General features: G+C 33.7%; 1 long non-coding RNA gene across 1 annotated transcript in view, besides 2 other annotated features; it reads right to left on the bottom strand.

The window, feature by feature from the left end:
• Positions 12,099–12,598: an enhancer, noted in NCBI's record as "H3K4me1 hESC enhancer chr5:12805511-12806010 (GRCh37/hg19 assembly coordinates)". NCBI's record gives its function as "activates a minimal SCP1, AML or CMV promoter by ChIP-STARR-seq in naive H9 embryonic stem cells {active_cell/tissue: H9 hESC(naive)}" and the evidence as "EXISTENCE:reporter gene assay evidence [ECO:0000049][PMID:30033119]".
• Positions 12,599–13,100: an enhancer, noted in NCBI's record as "H3K4me1 hESC enhancer chr5:12805009-12805510 (GRCh37/hg19 assembly coordinates)". NCBI's record gives its function as "activates a minimal SCP1, AML or CMV promoter by ChIP-STARR-seq in naive H9 embryonic stem cells {active_cell/tissue: H9 hESC(naive)}" and the evidence as "EXISTENCE:reporter gene assay evidence [ECO:0000049][PMID:30033119]".
• Positions 12,814–19,096, bottom strand: part of LINC01194 (long intergenic non-protein coding RNA 1194) — a 230,327-nt gene continuing 224,044 nt past the window's right edge. Inside the window, exon 4 of the long non-coding RNA NR_033383.1 lies at positions 12,814–13,057. This is a non-coding gene — a long non-coding RNA (long intergenic non-protein coding RNA 1194). The remainder of the gene's footprint in view (positions 13,058–19,096) is intronic.

Here is a 19,096-nt window from a genome sequence, read left to right as displayed (position 1 = left end):
TGATTTGAATGCAATAGCTTCCATCAATGATCAAGATCTCACCTTCTTCTGCCCGTGGCAGTGAGGATTCCATAGTTGGTGATTCTGTGCTCTATATTCTTATATTTCAGGGTTATTTTCAAATGGATAGCTATTAGTGAATTTCTATTAAACTGTATGCAAGTCTATAATTTCAGCTCTGTTTAGTTGGCGTTAAAATATTTTCTAGAACAAAACAATATAATTAATACAAGAGTATTTGTGATGTAAAAAATCAGAAAATGAAATTCTGCACATTATTTAGGAGACTTTTTGGTCATGACAAAAATTATCATAAATAGAAAAGTATTCAACTATATACATTTTACATTGTTTATTGTATGGTTAGGGGTGTGACGTTCAATACTAATTAGCTGTATTATGATAGAAACCTGCAATAGAATATTATGTAGCCATTGAAAAGATGAAGCAGGTCCATATTTATTGTCACGAATTTCTGTCCATGTCATATTATTGAATAAAAATGCAGGTTTTGTTAATAAATGGTATGATATTAAATACGTAAATATTTAAAATATATAAAACCATTGAATATTGTTAAAGGTGGCAGCCTTAGATGAGATATATTGTTTTTATTTTTATCTTTATGCATATTTATATACATATATATGTTTATACATATTTATAAACATATGGGATATATAATATGGAGAGAGAGAGACAAAGAGAGAGAAGATTCATCTATTTTACATCAGGACTTCGTCTATTTTACATCTATTTTCTGTTAATAGTGATTCCTAACATTTCTCCCTCACTGATCTCTTTGAAGATTTTGAAAATGACATAGGTTTACTCCTTGAGAATTTTTAAAAATAGTGTACTGCCTAAGAAATTAGACATCATTGTCAGTAACAATGACAGCTGATGTAAAAATAAATATGTCAGTCTATCTAATGGAGGGCTTTGATCATTACAGCATCGGAGTCATTAATGTGTTCATTCATTTATCCAGCAAAAATAACTGACTGCCGAATATGTGTCAGCAACTATTAGAATTAATAATGTAGTGGCAGACAAGGTGAAGTGCATAACCTCATAAAGTATTTTACTGGTAAGTAGGTAATACAAATAAATAAATGACAGCCTATTGTAATGGAGATTACTGGCAAGAAGTATCAATAAAAAATAACTGTGCTTGATAAGAGATTGAGAAAAAATAAGAGATTGATAATGATGGAGGAATTTTTTTTGTGGAGCTGGTTATAAAAGGAATCCGTGATTATGTGAAAATTGAGCAGACCTATGTAAAATAACAAGATGAATTGAAATATTTACATACTGGTTATATTGAGATATATGCCAATCTGTAACTATTTCAATTCATCCTTTTTATTTCTAACTTCAATTTTTGTGAAAAAAGAAATTCCTATTTTGTGCATCCCTGAACATGGCATAAGCTAATTCTTTCCTGAAGATGGCAAATATTTTATTTGCTAAAACAAAAACTTCCCCTACAGGAAAGAAAAAAAAATCTCTGTGTTCCACGAAGACATGGAATGTCTACAATGCTGAGTCACTATGTCCTACTGACCTGTCTGTACATTTGTTTTTTGTTTTTGTTTTTGCCTTATGCAATGTATCATGATGCCTAGAAGTGGAATAGGTGTGTTTATTTCTCATTTTTAATACTTAGAAATGTTACTCCTCATATTTTTAAAGAACATCAGCTCCTTTGAAGTACCACGGTTTCAATTAGTAGTTGCTGGCTCATGTCCCAATTACTACAGATGTGTTAAAAACATTTGCTCCCTGGCCAGGTGCAGCAACTCACCCCTATAAATCTGTCACTTTGGGAGGCTGAGGTGGGAGGATGCTTGAGGACAGGAGTTCAAGGCCAGCCTGGGCAACATAGTGAGATGCTGTCTTTACAATAATAATAATAACAATAAGCAAGGCATGGTGGCATGTATCTGTAGTCCCAGGTACTTGGGAGGCTGAGGCAGAAGATCACTTGATCCCAGGAGTCTAAGGTTTCTGTGAACTACCATCACGCCACTGCACTGAAGCCTGGGTGATAACGCAAGGCCTTGCCTCCAAATTTGCTCCCAACTCACTGAATTTCTATCCGTTAGTGCTTTACGATTAATTTTGGTGAATTGAACAGGCACATATATAATTTAACCAACAGCTTGTCTCTCTATCCCTTGACCTCCACTTCCTGGTGTTTTTTTCATCATCCCGTATCAACCATCTATTTCCTTGGGCATGATACACCACCTACAAAATCTCAACTGGAAAAGCCCATTCTTTTGGCATTAACTCCTAACTTTACAAATTTATTCACGCAGACACACTTTAGCATGCATCAAAATTACTCAGAGGACTTTTGAAGACAGAGATTTTTGGGCTTTGCCATTAGGGCACTGATTCAGTTGATCTAAGATGGGAGCTTAGAGTTTTTTTCTCTGAAAATCCCTAGATAATGCTAATACTGCTGCTCCACATATTAAATTTTGAGCCATTGCTCTACAAACACAAGATCGCTCACTTCAGAGCGATCCTCCTATAATGCCTGGAATAACGTGACTCCTACTTAATGCAATTATCTGTCTTCACGTAAACCTCACAAGGTGATTGGTGAAGCTGTACTGTTCAGTCTCAATTCAAATTTTTTCTAATTGACTCGCTCTCCCACTCTCCAAAATGTTGGCTGTTTTCCCTTTCTCAACTTCTTTTACGAATATACTAGATTGCTTTTGTAAAACTAAAATAGTGATCGCCAAGCTTTGAACCCTAGGAGTAATATAGTTGCCAAGGAAAATTTCAACCACAAAAAATAAGTATAGGAATTTGAAAATTACAGAGCTCTTGAATAAAAAGATGAAAGTATAATAGACCCCAAAACCATGCATATTTTTCTTACTGAAGACCACTTGAAATATAATATAAGGTACTCTGAAGAAAATAAAATAACTTTCAAAATCTAGAAAATTGTTTTAAATTGGAAAAAAAGAGGGAATCAAGAAATGGGTTTCTAGTGTAAAATTTGACTGCATTTGATTCTATGCAATAATTATTAATATTCAAGTAAATATTTTAATACATTTTAAATACATCAGTGATATTTAATCATTTTTTAAGATCTGATGACTACAGAGAATAAGCAAGGTTTTCACAATAACCATGATATGAAAAAAACCTAAATGTCCATCAATGGATGAATGAATAAAAAAATATATGTATAATGGAATACTATTTAGCCGTAAAAAGAAGAAAATACTGTCACTTGTGACAACATGAACCTGGAAGGCATTACGTTGAATGAAAGAAGCCAGGTACAGAAAGACAAACACTGCATGATCTCACTCTTGTGTGGAATAAAAAAAGTTGTTCTCATAGAAATCGAAAGTAGGATGGTCGTTGCCAAAGGCTGTGGCAGTTGGGAAGGAAAGATTGAAGAGATATCACTCAAAGGATACAAAATTTTAGTTAGATAGGAAAAATAAGTTCAAGAGATCTATTGTACTACATGATGACTAGAGTTAATGAAAATATATTGCATCAGTAAATTCTTAAAAAACAGAGAGAGAAAGAGTCCAAATCTTGGAATTCAAACTAAGTAGATCACAACATGTTCTTAATTAGTAGTGGTATTAAAACTTCAAATGTTTTAATTGTTATTACACTAAAATTATATATTTAGATCTTGTTAATATGCTAATGTGTAACTGTGATATACACCAGGTTTGAGGCCCTTCAGATATACGTGAAATGATATAAAAGGTAGTTACTGGTATTAAGAAGGTCATTAAAATAGACATTTTATTTAAATATTTCAAAAGTCACGTATGAGCATTTGCTTTGATGGCTAGAAGGTTTCAGAGTGTAGAAAACAAAGTTGTTTATTTGTTATCACCTTGCTCTGTTTTTATCTTATTTTTTAAAGCACATTGAAATCATATATAATCAAGGGTGCTGATTTACATTTTTAAAAAGTGAATCAAAATCAGCAATTATTGATAATTAACTATGTGATTTATATAAAATACTGTGTGGTTTTGCAGTTAGTCACAAATATATGTATTCTTCTAACAATGACTTTTGTTGAAGTATGAATATCTGGCATATCGATACAAAAATGAGTGCTCTCCTCATTACAGCTCACAGAAGAAAACAAAACTCTTTATCTTCTAATTTTCTCTGTAAAGAGAAATATGGCAAATATGTTTACTCAGTATAAAAATATATTGGCAAATATATTTACTTAAAATATTTACCAACCCTATACCAAATACAGATTCATACATTGTATGTTGAGGGTTTCATCAAACTCTAACTTGTTTGACAAACATGATAGATTTTTTCCATCATATGACATTAATATCACAGAAAAACAATCACATCATAATCCATAACCTTTTACAAGGGACTTCCTACCAAGTGAGAAATGGTTTACTTGCTCTAATGTCTTCCTGGTACACAGAGGTAGAGTCATTTTGAAATAGTGTCTGATTGACGCCAAAATTCTTTCCTGTGAGATCTGAATGATCCCTCCATGGGACTGAATGAACAATCTATGTAAAATTGAAGTTGGGTTTTAACAAATTGATGGGAGGAAAGAAATGTCAGAGTATTTTTACCTTTTCTAGAACTAATGGTTGGAGAAAAATAAATTTGGTCTGCAAGCCAAGGACCTTTATCTTCCTCTCCCTCCTCTCTGAATTTTATCATCAGGACTGGTTGCCATGGCTATCCTGTTATAACAAATTGAGTGCAAGCCCTGTTATCAGCATGCATTGGTTGCTTCTTTCCAAGTGTGAGAAAGTTGCCACTATTTTCCATCCTTTTAAAGGTTATGTTGTGATTTTTCCTTGGTAAGAAACAGATTTTCTTCTACTGCAAATGCAGCTATACTATTTTATGAGTGCTATAAGTAAACTTCTTATTTTCCAGGTGCAGTATGAATTTACATGGGCAATAGAACTATATTATCCTTTCAAAAATGAACTCATTTACTTTAGTTGTACATGATATTTTGTTTCTCCAAATTGTGACAGTCTGATTGATCTCATGATGCTATGTGATTGACTCCTCACCAAGAATGGGGTCAGAATACTGTTGGGACTGAGAAAACAGTCAAGTTGATTTTACCTTTTAGATACTTCAGTTGTACTGACTTGCTTTCAAAGCAGCTAATTAAAATACAGTTGGAGTAATCTAAATTTTTCTAGGAATTTGGACAAAGGCAAATTATTTGAAAATGAAATTTAGAATGGGTATTCATATTGTCTTCTGCTCATTAATTTTATTTAATTTGCAGTATCTCCAAATGGAGAGAGAGAAGGCTGTTTTATTAAGACACATACAGCTGTAGTTTCCTAAGTTCTGAATTTTAATTGTGAATTGTGTATTTCTCTGTGGCCTGTACTTAATTGTACCTGGAAAAAGGTATTATTTTTCCTTCTTGTCTTGTCATATGTGACCATGCCCTAAATTTCCATCCTACCAAATGATGAAAGCTAGTTAAAAAATCAATTATTTGAAATGGCTAACTTTCCTTTATAATTTCATTTGTATCATCTATTCACCTTTTTCTGAATGATATTTTATGCAAATGACTATTTTAAAATAATTTTAGATTTACAGATAATTACAGAATACAGAGATTCCCCATATATACTACACTCAGTAACCCCCACTATTAATATCTTATATTGCCTGGGCACATTTGTCAGAATTAAGGAAATAAATGTTACATTTGTCACAACATTGGTATATTTTTATAGGCTAGATGCCAGTTATTTGGATTTCATTCCATCTTTGCTAATGTTTTACCATCCTAACCAGGATAACACTTGATATTTAGCTATTATGTCCCCTTAGCCTCCTCTGGTGTGTGCCTTTTCTCAGACTTTCCTTCTTCCTGGTAATCTTGAGAGATGTAAGGAATACTGATCCGTCATTTCTTAGAATGTCTCTCAGTCTGGGTTTGTCTGATGTTTGTTTCATGATTAGACTAGAGTTAATGTTTTACTGGAGGAAGACCATAGAAGTAATGTATCTTTTCATCTCATGAATTCTATTTTTAATTGGATAGGGGATTACATAAGTTACAGTTTTGATCTATAGCTCTTATTTTTAATTTAACACAGATACAAATATAAATTATTTGGAGAGTAAAATTTAATACAATTTTAAAAAATACCATGTAGTTTTTTAAACGAAAACTATTATTAATAAAAAAAATGACAAACCAATTTCATCCAGGATTTGAAAACCTTTTAAATTTAAGCACTAGAGATCTGAAAAAATCCCTACAAAATTAGAAGATAATTTAGATGTTATTAAACTTGAATTTATACATTATTCTGGGAAAACTTTAAGTATGAGTGTATTTAAATCGTAATTTGGAAGGTTGACGAGAAAGCCTCTATCAAGTTCAGCCAAAATTTCTTCACATGGAAAATGAGTATCATATGCCTCTATTGTGGGGGTAGGGTGGTAAATGGGGAAATGTTATTCCTGACAATTCATTTTAATTTACAGGCAGTTTTCACTTTGTATGGCTTCACAGTGACTACAGTCCCACTTTAATGCACAGGAATTTGCAAATTTAGTGCTCCGTATGCAAAGATTGCAGTTAGCATGGTACTATGTAGAGCAAGGAGTACAGATATTTATACATCATAATTATTTTATTTTTATATTTTAACTTTTTAGGAGTAGATTTCAGGATGATGCTGACATACACTAATATAATATTACTTATAAAAGCTATCTGTTGGTTAAAGTATAAACTGAATACAGTTCTGGAGTAGATATCACATTTTGGGACTTATCAACATATATATGGCACAATGCCTGCAGAAGGAGCCTGAGAAATTCTACTGTAAGCTTTATTAGGGATATTTCTAAGATGTTATATAATATTCAAATTCAATAAGTAAATTCTATATAAAGAGAAAGTATATATTATTAACACTATGTGCCAGATGACTAATAAAACTGAAGATTATATAGGAATAATTCTATTATATTTTAAATATTCATATATTCAGTAGATAAATTTTTTAAATGCTTCTTCTAGGACACTTTAGTCATTTTTATCATCATTTAACTCAAAAAAAGTTAAAATTATAGTCAAACACTAACACTACCCTGTAGAATATAATTAATTACTGAAATAAGCACTATGAAAACATTGTCCCTTCTTTGATAGACTGCAACTTACTCATTTGGATACAATGCTTTGGTAGCTTTGCTTGCTTAAGAGATAATTAATTAAATTATTTTCACTTTATAAGCATCTTTAAAATGTTAGACTTAAGAAACATGACAGCAACCTCTAAGTCAAAATATTATTAATGCAAAATGCTCTCAAATTAAGAGAAGAAATGCTTTTTTTGGAATTAATAAGATGCTTTTATATCCTGAAAACCGTATCCCTGTAAATCTCTCATGATATTAGAATATGGTTATTTACAATATTCAGTATTCAAGATATATAATAATATTTATATAGCATTTAATGTATGACAGCCATTGATACAAAGAATTTATGTTTTAGATAATTTAATACCACATTAACCCTAAAATGTAGTGCTGGCTGAGCGCGGTGGTTCACACCTGTAATCCCAGCACTTTGGGAGGCTGAGGTGGGTGGATTACCTGATGTAAGGAGTTCAAGACCAGCCTGGCCAACATGGTGAAACTCCACCTCCACTAAAAATACAAAAATTAGCCGGGTGTAGTGGCAGAGCCTGTAATCCCAGCTCTTCAGGAGGCTGAGGCAGGAGAATCGCTTGAACCTGGGAGGTGGAGGTTGCAGTGAGCCGAGGTCGTGCTACCTTACTCCAGTCTGGGCGACAGAGACTCCATCTCAGAAAATAAACAAATAAATTTAAAAAAATGTGGGTTCAATTGTGACTGTTTTATAGATGAGTAAACGAAGGCATGTGATGATTAGTAACCAATATAAAGCTAAACAATGTGGTTCAGACTCCAAGAACTTTACAGTTAACATCGCTAAAAATAATACCAGGTTTTATCTACTGGTAATATACAACAGTTTGGACTCCAGGACTACATAGGTTATAATGGTGACTTTACCTGCTGTATTTTGTAGACCTTGGTTCAATTAAATTTATATAGTAAGTCCTTATTTTCTTATATTTTAAAAGAATTAGTATTTACCATCCCTTGACTGTTTACATCAGGGACTTTCAACCTCAGCATTGTTGAAATTTGGGAACAGATAATTCTTTGATGTGAAGACTCTCCTGGGCATTTTAGGATGTTTAGCAACTTTCTTGACATCCACTCACTAAATGACAGCAGCAGCTCATATCAACAACTGAGCCTGATATGAACAATTAGATGTCAACTCAAAATTTTGAAATTAAATGTATCTGAAAAAATATATATATATATGTGAAACATGTATAATGTATATTGAATTATATATTGTGTTTCATACATAAAACATTATTGTCTTAGTTTGGGCTGCTGTAACAAAATACCATAGAATGGGTAGCTTATACAACAAGCATTTATTTTTAACAGTTCTGTAGGCTGGAAGTCTGAGATCAGGATGCCAACATGGTCAGATAAATCTCTTCCTGGTTTACAGACAGCCATATTCTCATTGTATCCTCCTGGGGCAGAGAGAGAGTAAGTTCTAAGGTCTCTCTTACAAGGACACTAATCCCATTCATAAAGGTTCCACCTCCATAACCTAATCACCTCCCAAAGACCCCCACCTCCAAATAACATCAAATTGTGGATTAGGATTCAACATGCGAATTTCCAAGGCACACAAACATTCAGTCTATAAAAATTATCTATCTATATAATTTTACTCAACTTTATTCATATAGTTATCAAACTTTTCATATATGCATATATTCATATGGCTTCACAGTGAAGCCAACTTTATTATATAAATTTACACTTTATTCATATATGTCAAGTTTATATATATGAACTTTATTCCAACATACTGAATATCAATTGCTTTTATACTTTAAATTTAGTTGAGATGACCACTATTTCTTCAAAAGTAAGTCATACACACACACGCACATATATTTAATATGTTGATATATATTAAGATTAAGGAAAAATATTGATACTATCATACAAGTATAAAACTAAGAACACTTGTGTCTGGGAAATGCATTTTAGTAAGTTCATTGTGTTTATCTCATTGTATCCTATTTCAGCTTACCCATCAGATAACCAATTAGCACAGTTCAGTTAAATACTGAAATGGTGTCTAAAATCAAGGATTTTAACATGGACTTCAGTCTGCTCTTACTAACTCTGAGGATAACAGAAAAGTCATCTGCTTTCGTGGAATTTGTAAACTAGCAAGAAAATTTAGAATTATGACAGGAATAGTACAGGGTGTTTGAGAAAAACATTCTTAAAAGCATTTTATGATATGCAGATTTATGTATTTCACAGTGTTTTGTGCAAAATAAAACTTTATTCAAATGTACTGAATATCAACTGCTTTTATACTTGTAATTTATCTGAGAAGACCACTATTTCTTCAAAAGTAGGTCATTGTCTTTGGAGATGTACAAAACCACTGAGTTATGTGTCCTGTCAGGAAAAACATTAAAAATCAATATATTATGAGAATTTAAACTAGAACTAGTTCATAAAATTTAATTTTTTAAAGGAATTGTGTTGTAGTGAAAATTATAAAATTATGTATTCTTCTACTTTTGTAAAATGTCACTCTTTCAAAAAAAGTTTAAGAATTATAGAATATAATTGTTTTATTCATAATACCCATATGAAAATATTTCTTTGACTGCCAAGAAACTTAGAGGGTTAATGTACTTTTCTCTATAAAGCAGGTATTAATTTCCTAAGGGAGCTAATAAGTTGGGCTTTCCTATAATCATGTTTGCTTTCTAACTGCTAAAGAAAAGCACTAAAAACAAGACTATTGGAATAGCAAAATCCATTAGAAATCACTGTTAATTTGTAAAGTGGAGCATTAACTGTTTTATTATCATTTGGCTAATTTCATGCTATGTATCAACGATTGTGATATAATAAAATGTTTATGTGTACATGACCTATATTTTATAAACATGCTTTCCAATGCCTGAAAGTTCTGAACACAAGAAAGTATTATGCACATAATTTCTTCTTTTCTATTTATACATATTTTTTCATTAAATATGAGTTAGTGCACTGATTAAAATGTAGAAAGCCACTCTAACAATGATTTATGGGTTGACTCAACCGTGTACAACTGAAATATTTTTTATATTTATTCTGATAATTGAAATGCAGAGAAGATATAAACCCAGTAATACACAAATAAAAATGCCTGAAATATTAAGTTTACCCTATTATTATTACAATTATGATTACTATTATAAATAATCAAAACTACTTGCATACCCCCCAGATGAACCAGAATCTATTTTCATTGACTGAGTTTGTTGTTGGTATCATTTGGGAAATTCCATTAGCAGCAACGAACTTCATAGGTTAAAACCCACAATCAAAAAAAAAATTATCAAGTTCATAAAGACCTTTGCTGGATTTCCAGTCTTAAGTAGCCAATTTTAGCTATTTCGTACTATTTTCACATAACTCACAAACACTGCATATCAGTTGGATGAGTTTCTTGACCGACATTATGCATTTTATGGAGGTTTCTGGAGACTGCAGAGCACTGTCTGCCTTTCGATGATTCCTGAACAGCAATATATAATGCATACCAGGCAATGAAGTCATGGCCTAGGAAGAGGTGGCATCTCTCACATCTCTAGGTTCCAATGGACAATTATATGTTTAGGTGGCTGGGCTTTCCTTTTTGTGGATTATGTTATTCTAATCTCATTATGTTATTTTAAATTCATCTTCAAACTATTTTTTGAGTTTTGGAAAGCAAAAAAATACAATAACATAAATTCCATGGGGCACAATTTTTACTTTACAGAGCAAAAGGAATAAAAGATAGCAAAGAATTAGAGAGAAGCAAACATAAACTAGTTTCAGCAAATGTGCTGTTAAGAAATTATATCAAATTCTTAGGTAATAATTTTACCAAAGAATTAAAATCTAATAATTTAAATTAAATGATTTAAAATATTAAATAACATATAATTGACATATTTAAAGCAATATTGAATTTTACTAAATATTACAAAAATATTTTACTATAGCTACATTGATTCCAAGTTATATGTAACTATATTTTAGTTGCATCTACTTATAAGAGACTATGTCTTCAAGTGTAACTAATATAGGATAACACTTTGAGAATTATGTAATCATCTCTGTAATAATAAGGGTAAAAATAATTTATCATTTAAAAACAAAAGTAGGCCAGGCGCGGTGGCTCACGCCTGTAATCCCAGCACTTTGAGAGGCCGAGGCAGGTGGATCAGGAGGTCAGGAGATCGAGACCATCCTGGCTAACATGGTGAAACCTTGTCTCTACTAAAAATACAAAAAATAGCGGGGCGTGGTGGCGCATGCCTGTGGTCCTAGCAACTCGGGAGGCTGAAGCAGGAGAATTGCTTGAACCCGAGAGGCGGAGGTTGCATTGAGCCAACATCGTGCCACTGCACTTCAACCTGGCGACAGAGCAAGACTCCGTCTCAAAAAACAATTAAACAAACATAAGTAAAGTGATTAATACACACAATCAAGACAAAAAAATAGCAAATATTCATCTTTCAAACTAGGGAAGTTCCAACTTTCTGACCATGACCATTTGCTATGGGACTTAGGAATTTAACTTGGTGGATAGACTTTCTAGTCAACAGCAAACTGCTTAATTGGACTGCTAATCTCTAATAGCCAAATTTCGTTTTATGAATATCTAACAACAGCAACTCTGAAATTTGTTAGAAAATATTCCTCTATGTCATTCACACTTAAAACTAAATGTAACAAAACTGATGATCAACGGACTTTTCTTGTTTCTTTGTATAATTGTTCTGTACTTCATTAGAATAATGGTAAGCCCATATTGTCCCCACATATTTTGAGATGTCCGGGGTTTAAACCCTTCCTCCACTCCAAGAAAAAAAAAATGTCACTTTTTAAAAACTACTAATAATTAGAGCATTGGGTATAATAACCTATCAAGTTGTGCCCAAAAAGAATAGGAAGAAAATCATTTTTGCAAACAAATCACAGGGAGAGAGGGATGAAGTTGATGTGGGACAGAACTCCAGTGGATTGTGGGAGTAGAGAGAAGGACAGAAATTTAACAGACAGTGATCCTCAAACACAGGAGCTCATTTTAGAAAATTTGCCAAAATGGAAGAGGTCTTTTGCCTAAAGCAGGATGAGTGGACCTAGTCATGGTGAAGCACGATATTTCCCTGACCCCTTCGTGGGACTCGAGACAGGACTGCCCCGTTTACTCAGCCTGCCACTCTCAGCTCCTCGCAGGAGGAAGCATGTGAGCAAACAAGGCAGGAACTGGTGGAGTACACAAGCATTGAAAGGAGCCGGCTGCTTGGGCGCCAGCAGGAGTAAACTCCACTCACTCAGACCTGCTGTACTTCACCCCGCACAGGAGGGAGCACACAGATGAATGGGTGCAGGAACGGGGGTGAGCACTTTCGGGTCAGTAGGAGCATCCATGCGGCCCAGGGGCAGCGTCTGGAGGCTGGGGGCGGGGAGTTGTCTGTGACTCCGGAAGTCCCAGTGGCCATGTCAAAGTGCTCTTTTTGCTCTTCCGTCTGTATACAGCTTAAGTGTTAACAGCTCAGTGGGCCCTTTTGTATCTGCGCTCGTGGCTCCCGAGTTCTTTTCCGATATCCAGGAAAAATGAGGTTGCACAAATGAATTGAAGGATAGTGCATGTGGGGGATTTTATTGCGGTGAAAGTGGCTCTCAGTGGGAAGGGGAGCTGAGAAAAGGGTAGGGGAAGGGTAGGTAATCTTTTCCTGGAGTCTAGCCATCTCTAACCAGATTCTTCTCTGAAGTTACACCATCAAGCTGTCCCTCTGAAGTCAAACTGCTTCTCTCCTGACGTCCAGCCATAGTCATCCCGAGGTCCAGCTGCTGCTTCTCTCTGCAGGTTTTCTGGGATCTTTACAGGCAAAGGATGGGGTGGGGTAGTGTCATGGGTGATTTAGGAAAAGACAGCATTTGAGCAGGGAAATAGAGATCTAAGTTCTCACTTTGGGCTGCGATCTCAGGCTTCAGCTTGAAGGTGGGGCTTTGCCCCTGTCTGCCTAGAATTTCTCTGCCCCCTGTCCCTATCAATGGGCCATGGCAAGCAATATTGATCTTCATTAGAATCACATGGAGTCCTCAGCCCCTCCTGACATAGTTATTACTTACCTGATAATCTCAAAGGACTCAAACCCAGATCCAAGCCAGTTAGTCCTCACAGCCCATTAACATGTGATAGTACTTTACTCATATTTTGCAGTAACTCAAGAAATGTTGGCATGTCAAAATATCACTTGGTGTTTAACACTATCCTGGTTGAATGCCATCCCCAGGGCATTCCCTGAACCAAAGTCGTTACCTCTGGACATCTGGGGATGTGGTTGTGGGAGAGCTATAGACAGAACAACCTTGATATCCTTATGTTGTGAAGGGAGAAAGTTACATCACCGTTATACAAAAAAGCACTAGAGGTTATTTATTTATTTATTACTTATTTATTTATTTATTTATTTATCTATCTATCTTAGTTTCTGGCCTGTGATGAACTCCTTTGTTCATCAGCACAACAGGAACATTCAGTGGAAAAACATTTCTATGTAGAGGCCACTTCCCCACACAATAACTCTTCACATTTCTGCCATTCTTATTTCCTGTAAAATGATTTTAGCATTTAGTTTCTCTAACAAAAATTTGGTAGATAGATAAACAGATAAGTAGATAGACAGACAGGTGCAAAGAGATAGGCTCATACATATCCTTTTCCCTCAGGAAAACAATTAAAATAAACGTACAGCTTCAATATAGTTACAGTGCCACGAAACTGTCAAATTGAGGCGCTGTTTCATACATTTTTAGTATATTAATCTAACAATTTCTCTAAGTATTTTTCTATTCATCCCAAATCGGAATATTAGATTACTAACAAATATTGAGTATAGCTCTGAATTTTAAATGCTTATCAACTTTTTCTATGATTTGGGCAAAAATAAAACTAACAACTCAGATGACTTAAAAGATTAATTTGTAATCTTAAATGATAAGTATGTATTTAATTATCTTTTAAATGAAATTACCTACATTCTCTTGAATTAGCTAACATATATGCTTTATAGTCTATATTGATATTCAAAATAAACACAATTCAAAGTTTAAAAATTACTCATCTTTTTAACATATGGCATAACCAATAGTACAAAAATAATCCTTTTTTCCCAACATATAAATTCTACTTCTCTGTTTCTATAAGTACAGAAAAAAAGTTTAGCCTAATTAATAAAAAAATTTATATAATTCTCAGTTAAGTGTGAATTATCGTCTAAATTTTAATCATCACCACTAAGGCCAGATGTAGTGCTGATAATTAGTCATTAATTAGCATTTATGTGTATTTGTAATTAACAAATTCTGAACAATTAGTTTTTAATCCAAACTTTCCTCAATTATAACATGTTTAAGTTATATCAACATTCTATTTTCTCTTATTATATGGTAAGGACAGTTAGACTAAATTTAATTCCTCATCTGGCTACTGGCTATGTAATTTGGTGTTTAATAACATGGAGACTTAAAGAGAACAAATATATCTATATAAGCAGATATGAAATGATGTAATGATGTACAAGATGTGGTATTAAGTAATGCTGCCAGCAAGTTTGTAATAGAATCTGTGTGTTATGTACCTGTCTATAATCCAATGTTTTTGTTAAAACCGGAAAAATACATATATATATATGTTTATATAGAGAGAGTTTTTTTTTTTTTTTTTTTTTTCAAATAGAAAGCCAAAGAGAGAAAGAGAGAATTTCAACTTCAGAAATAAACTTTTCGGTTCATCTAGGATCTCTTTTAGACCAAAATCTGGCAGACCTAGGCCCAGGCTCTTGGGTTCAGGTCTTGTCTTATGTGTTCGTGGATGCTTTGTTAGTTTCCTATTGTTGCTCTAACAAATTACAGCCAGGCATGGTGGCTCACGCCTGTAATCCCAGCACTTTGGGAGGCTGAGGCGGGTGGATCACAACGTCAGGAATTCGAGACCAGCCTGACCAACATGGTGAAACCCTGTATCTACTAAAAATACACACACACACACACAAAATTAGCTGGGTGTGGTGGCGCATGCCTGTAATCCCAACTACTCAGGAGGTTGAGGCAAGAGAATCACTTGAACCCCGGAGGCGGAGGTTGCAGTGAACCAAGATGACATGACTGCACTCCAGCCTGGGTGACAGAGTGGAGACTCCGTCTCAAAAACAAACAAACAAACAAACAAACAAAAAACAAATTACCATACACATGGATTTAAACGAATGCAAATGTATTATCTGATAGTTATGGCAGTAAGAGGTTTAAAAGCTAAGTGTTGATAGGGCTGTGTTATTTCTAGAGTCTCTAAGGGAGAATGTGCTTTCCTATCTTTTCCAGTCTCTAAAGTCTACCCACCTTCCTTGCTTAGTAGCCCTTTCTTAGTGTCACACCAATCTCTGCTTCTGTCATCACGTCCCTTTTCTCTCTATTTCTTTTTTTTATAAACATTGTGATTACACTGAGTCCATCCACATAATCAAAGATTTTTAACTTAATCACATCTGCAATTTTTTTTTTTTTGGTCATGAAAGATAACATATTCACATATTCTTAAGACTAGGGCATAGATGACTTTGGGGGACCATTAGTATTCCTATTGCAGAAGCCCAGGCTCCAGGCCACTTGGACATTCTCTTCTCAGGTAGGTTCACCAGATGGCAAGTAGTAAGTTAAACTGGCTGAATTCATTAAAAGCCTCAGTTAATATTTTTCAAAATAAAATTCCACTGGTCAAAGGAAGTCATGTGGTCAAACCAATGGGGTGGGTAAGTTTTCTTGGCCCAGAATAAGAGTGCATCATGTAACAACACATATATTGCTTTCCAAATATATTTTGCAGCATGTAATAACTTATTCTCATTGTATAAATATGAGAAGAAAAACTAGCATCATGCCCCATAACATTTTAATTTTACTGAAGTTTCTGTCTTAAGAACATATTCGCTTCCATACAAATAACCTTTGTTGAGTATATACAGTTATTGCCTTAGTCCACTTTGTGCTACTGTAATAGAATACCAAAGATTGAGTAATTTATAAGAAACAGAAGTAAGATTGAGTAATTTATAAAGAACAAAAATTTATTTCTTGCAATTCTGGAGGCTGGCTAGCCTAAGAAACAGGGCCCAGCATCTGGTGAGGGCCTTCTTGCTGTATCATCCCATGGTGGGTGGTGGAAGGGCAAGAAAGGAAGAAAGAGAAAGAGAGAAGAAGGGGGGGGGGAGAGAGAGAGAGAGAATGGGTGTGTGTAAAGGGAGGGGGGCAAATTTCCCCTTTTATAATGAATCCACTCCAAAGATAATAGCATCAATCTATTCACTCCTTTCTCATGGCCTAAGTACCTCTCATTAGGCCCCACCTCCCAACGTGGTTCCATTGGGGATCAAGTTTCTGGCACATGCTTTTCGGGGGGATACATTCAAACCATAGCAATTACCTTCTGTCTTCTCACATTCTTTTTAATGGGGATTTATTCTCATTTAAAGATGATAAAAGTAAACAAAAAGAAGGAAATAGGTGATTCTGCAAAATATATAATACACTCAAAGTTTCCTCTTCTAGTCTATCCTTTACCAGTTCATTGCAAGTTGTAAGCAGACCAGTCTGTTAGAGGCCGCCAGGCTCTATGTTTCAACTCCTGACAAGGGCTCCATAAATGGGCCAAAAGCTGTAGCATCATTAACTTAATATATGGACTTCTAAACAGACCTTCCATGTTGCACACTCAAAATTCTGCTTATAGAACACTATCTTATTAGGTAACATTTCCCAATATTGTTTTAGTATTTACCGAGTCTAGCAACTATCACTCAAAGTGGCATGTTATTCTACAGATGTTAAAAACAGATTATATTTTAAGATGAAACTTTGCAATTTCATGAAGAGTTAAGCAGTAGACAGTCTCAGATAAGTTGATAAATTAATATTTCTTTGATACACTATGGCATTTTCCGAGTTTTTGAATAGGGTGATTGAAGATTTTTGAACATCGTGAAGAAATAGAGGATTATAAACTCATTTTTAGAAAAGTTATCTTATTGTTAAGTTACAGCTGTATATTAAAAATATTTTTAGTCTGGTTTATGTTAGAGTATAGATGTTCACAAAGTAATTTTGCTTATGAGATGAGCTTAACTAGAACCAGAATTGTTGCTACTTTCAGCTGTTATGTTACTACTGGGGCCTTTTAAGAGAATATCACTTTTTGCCTTTAGATTGCATTATTTTTTAAATTCATGTCCTAAATTGTACAGGGCTGCATTTAATATTTTGCTTTTGAACAAGTAAGCAGTATTAGTACTTAGATAAAGAATAAAGTCCCCAGTCTGCAAATCTAATAAAATAAAGCAATCAGTTTGAACAATACTATTAAATGAATTAAGAAAAAAATAATGTGAAAAACCTTCTTTGGAATAAAAACTCTTAGCTATAAAACACGTCTCATTGTCATAAACAAGTCTTAATAAATAGAATATGATTGCAATCACACATGCTATAGTCTCTGATTAGAAGTCTTTATAAATATATGTACTGATTATTTATTTATACACAACATTTCCATAATCACCTCAGGAAAGCACCCATCAGATTCTCCTATGCTTGCAAGCCATGTCCCTCTTAAGGTCATACTGGCAGAAACACAGATTAGGTGCATCACTGTTTGATCTGTCATTTGCACTGTCTTCTACAAATATAAATCCAAAATTAGTTCAAAATTTAGTTTATATGGTTTAGTCTGAAATGAATAAAGTGAATCCTCACTCTTTATTCTCCCACATTTTAATAGCTTTTTAAAATTATTTACACAGAGGAACACTAAAGATAAGATGCTAAGTTTGATTTCTAATTCATTATGTTAAAGAGTAAGTATGTTATGGCGATTGATAGATCCTTTCAAAAGAAACAATGGTCTGTTTACATATTTGCTTAATTCTTCAAGATCAGGGGATATTAGTTTAAATTTAAATTAATAGTGGGTTTAATGTTCATTTATATTTTTTAGACAGATAAAAATATATTTTTCAAATTGTTAGAAGAAGAGGAACACAACATCATTAAATGTCATAGGCTTAATGAATTTGTGCTTATCTTTTCAAAATAATCAAGTTCAGATCATTACTTATCTTTATCACTAAAGCATTTTACTAATACTGTAATGACTTTATATAACAACGGAGATTCAGGTGTATAAATGAAAGTATTTTCTTTTAATTCTTCTTAAAATTTTTTAGAATAGCTGGAATGAGCGTGCATGTAGGTGGCAAAACTAGGTGTTGAGGGAGGAGAGCGTTTAAATTGATGATTAAAATCAACAATTTATAAATAAATTCTAACAGCATTTTAATTATGACTTCTACTATAAATTGTATAAATTATAAATTACGTGTATTTTCATTGCATAAGTATGATGAAAACATAAATTGGTTTAAGATCTAAAGTTATCTTTCAAATATTATTAAATACGTTAAAATGATAAATCCAATATGAAATGATTAAAGGTATGCTTTCTGAAATATTCTTCCCACTCTGTGCATGTGTGTCTGTGTGCACGTTAATTTCATGTGAGAAGAGAACTACAGTTTTAAAGACTGCATGTCTCCTGAATCTACTTGAATAGAGTTTGATGCATTAAGATATTCTATATTAAGGGGAAAACAAAGAACATGTTAGATTTTATTGTCATTCCATAAGAGGGTAATTAATACTTGTCTTTTAAAGGATGAAGGCAAATGATAATAAATGAACTTAAAAAATGGTTTAACAGGCCAGGTGTGGTGGCTCATGCCTGTAATCCCAGCACTTTGGGAGGCTGAGGTGGGTGGATCACTTGAGGCCGGGAGTTTAAGACCAGCGTGGTGAAACCCTGTCT

This window comes from Homo sapiens, chromosome 5 (assembly GCF_000001405.40).
Source record: "Homo sapiens chromosome 5, GRCh38.p14 Primary Assembly".
Classification (NCBI taxonomy): domain Eukaryota; kingdom Metazoa; phylum Chordata; class Mammalia; order Primates; family Hominidae; genus Homo; species Homo sapiens.
The sequence above is the reverse complement of the archived record's forward strand: the minus strand, read 5'-3'. Positions and strand labels throughout refer to the sequence as shown.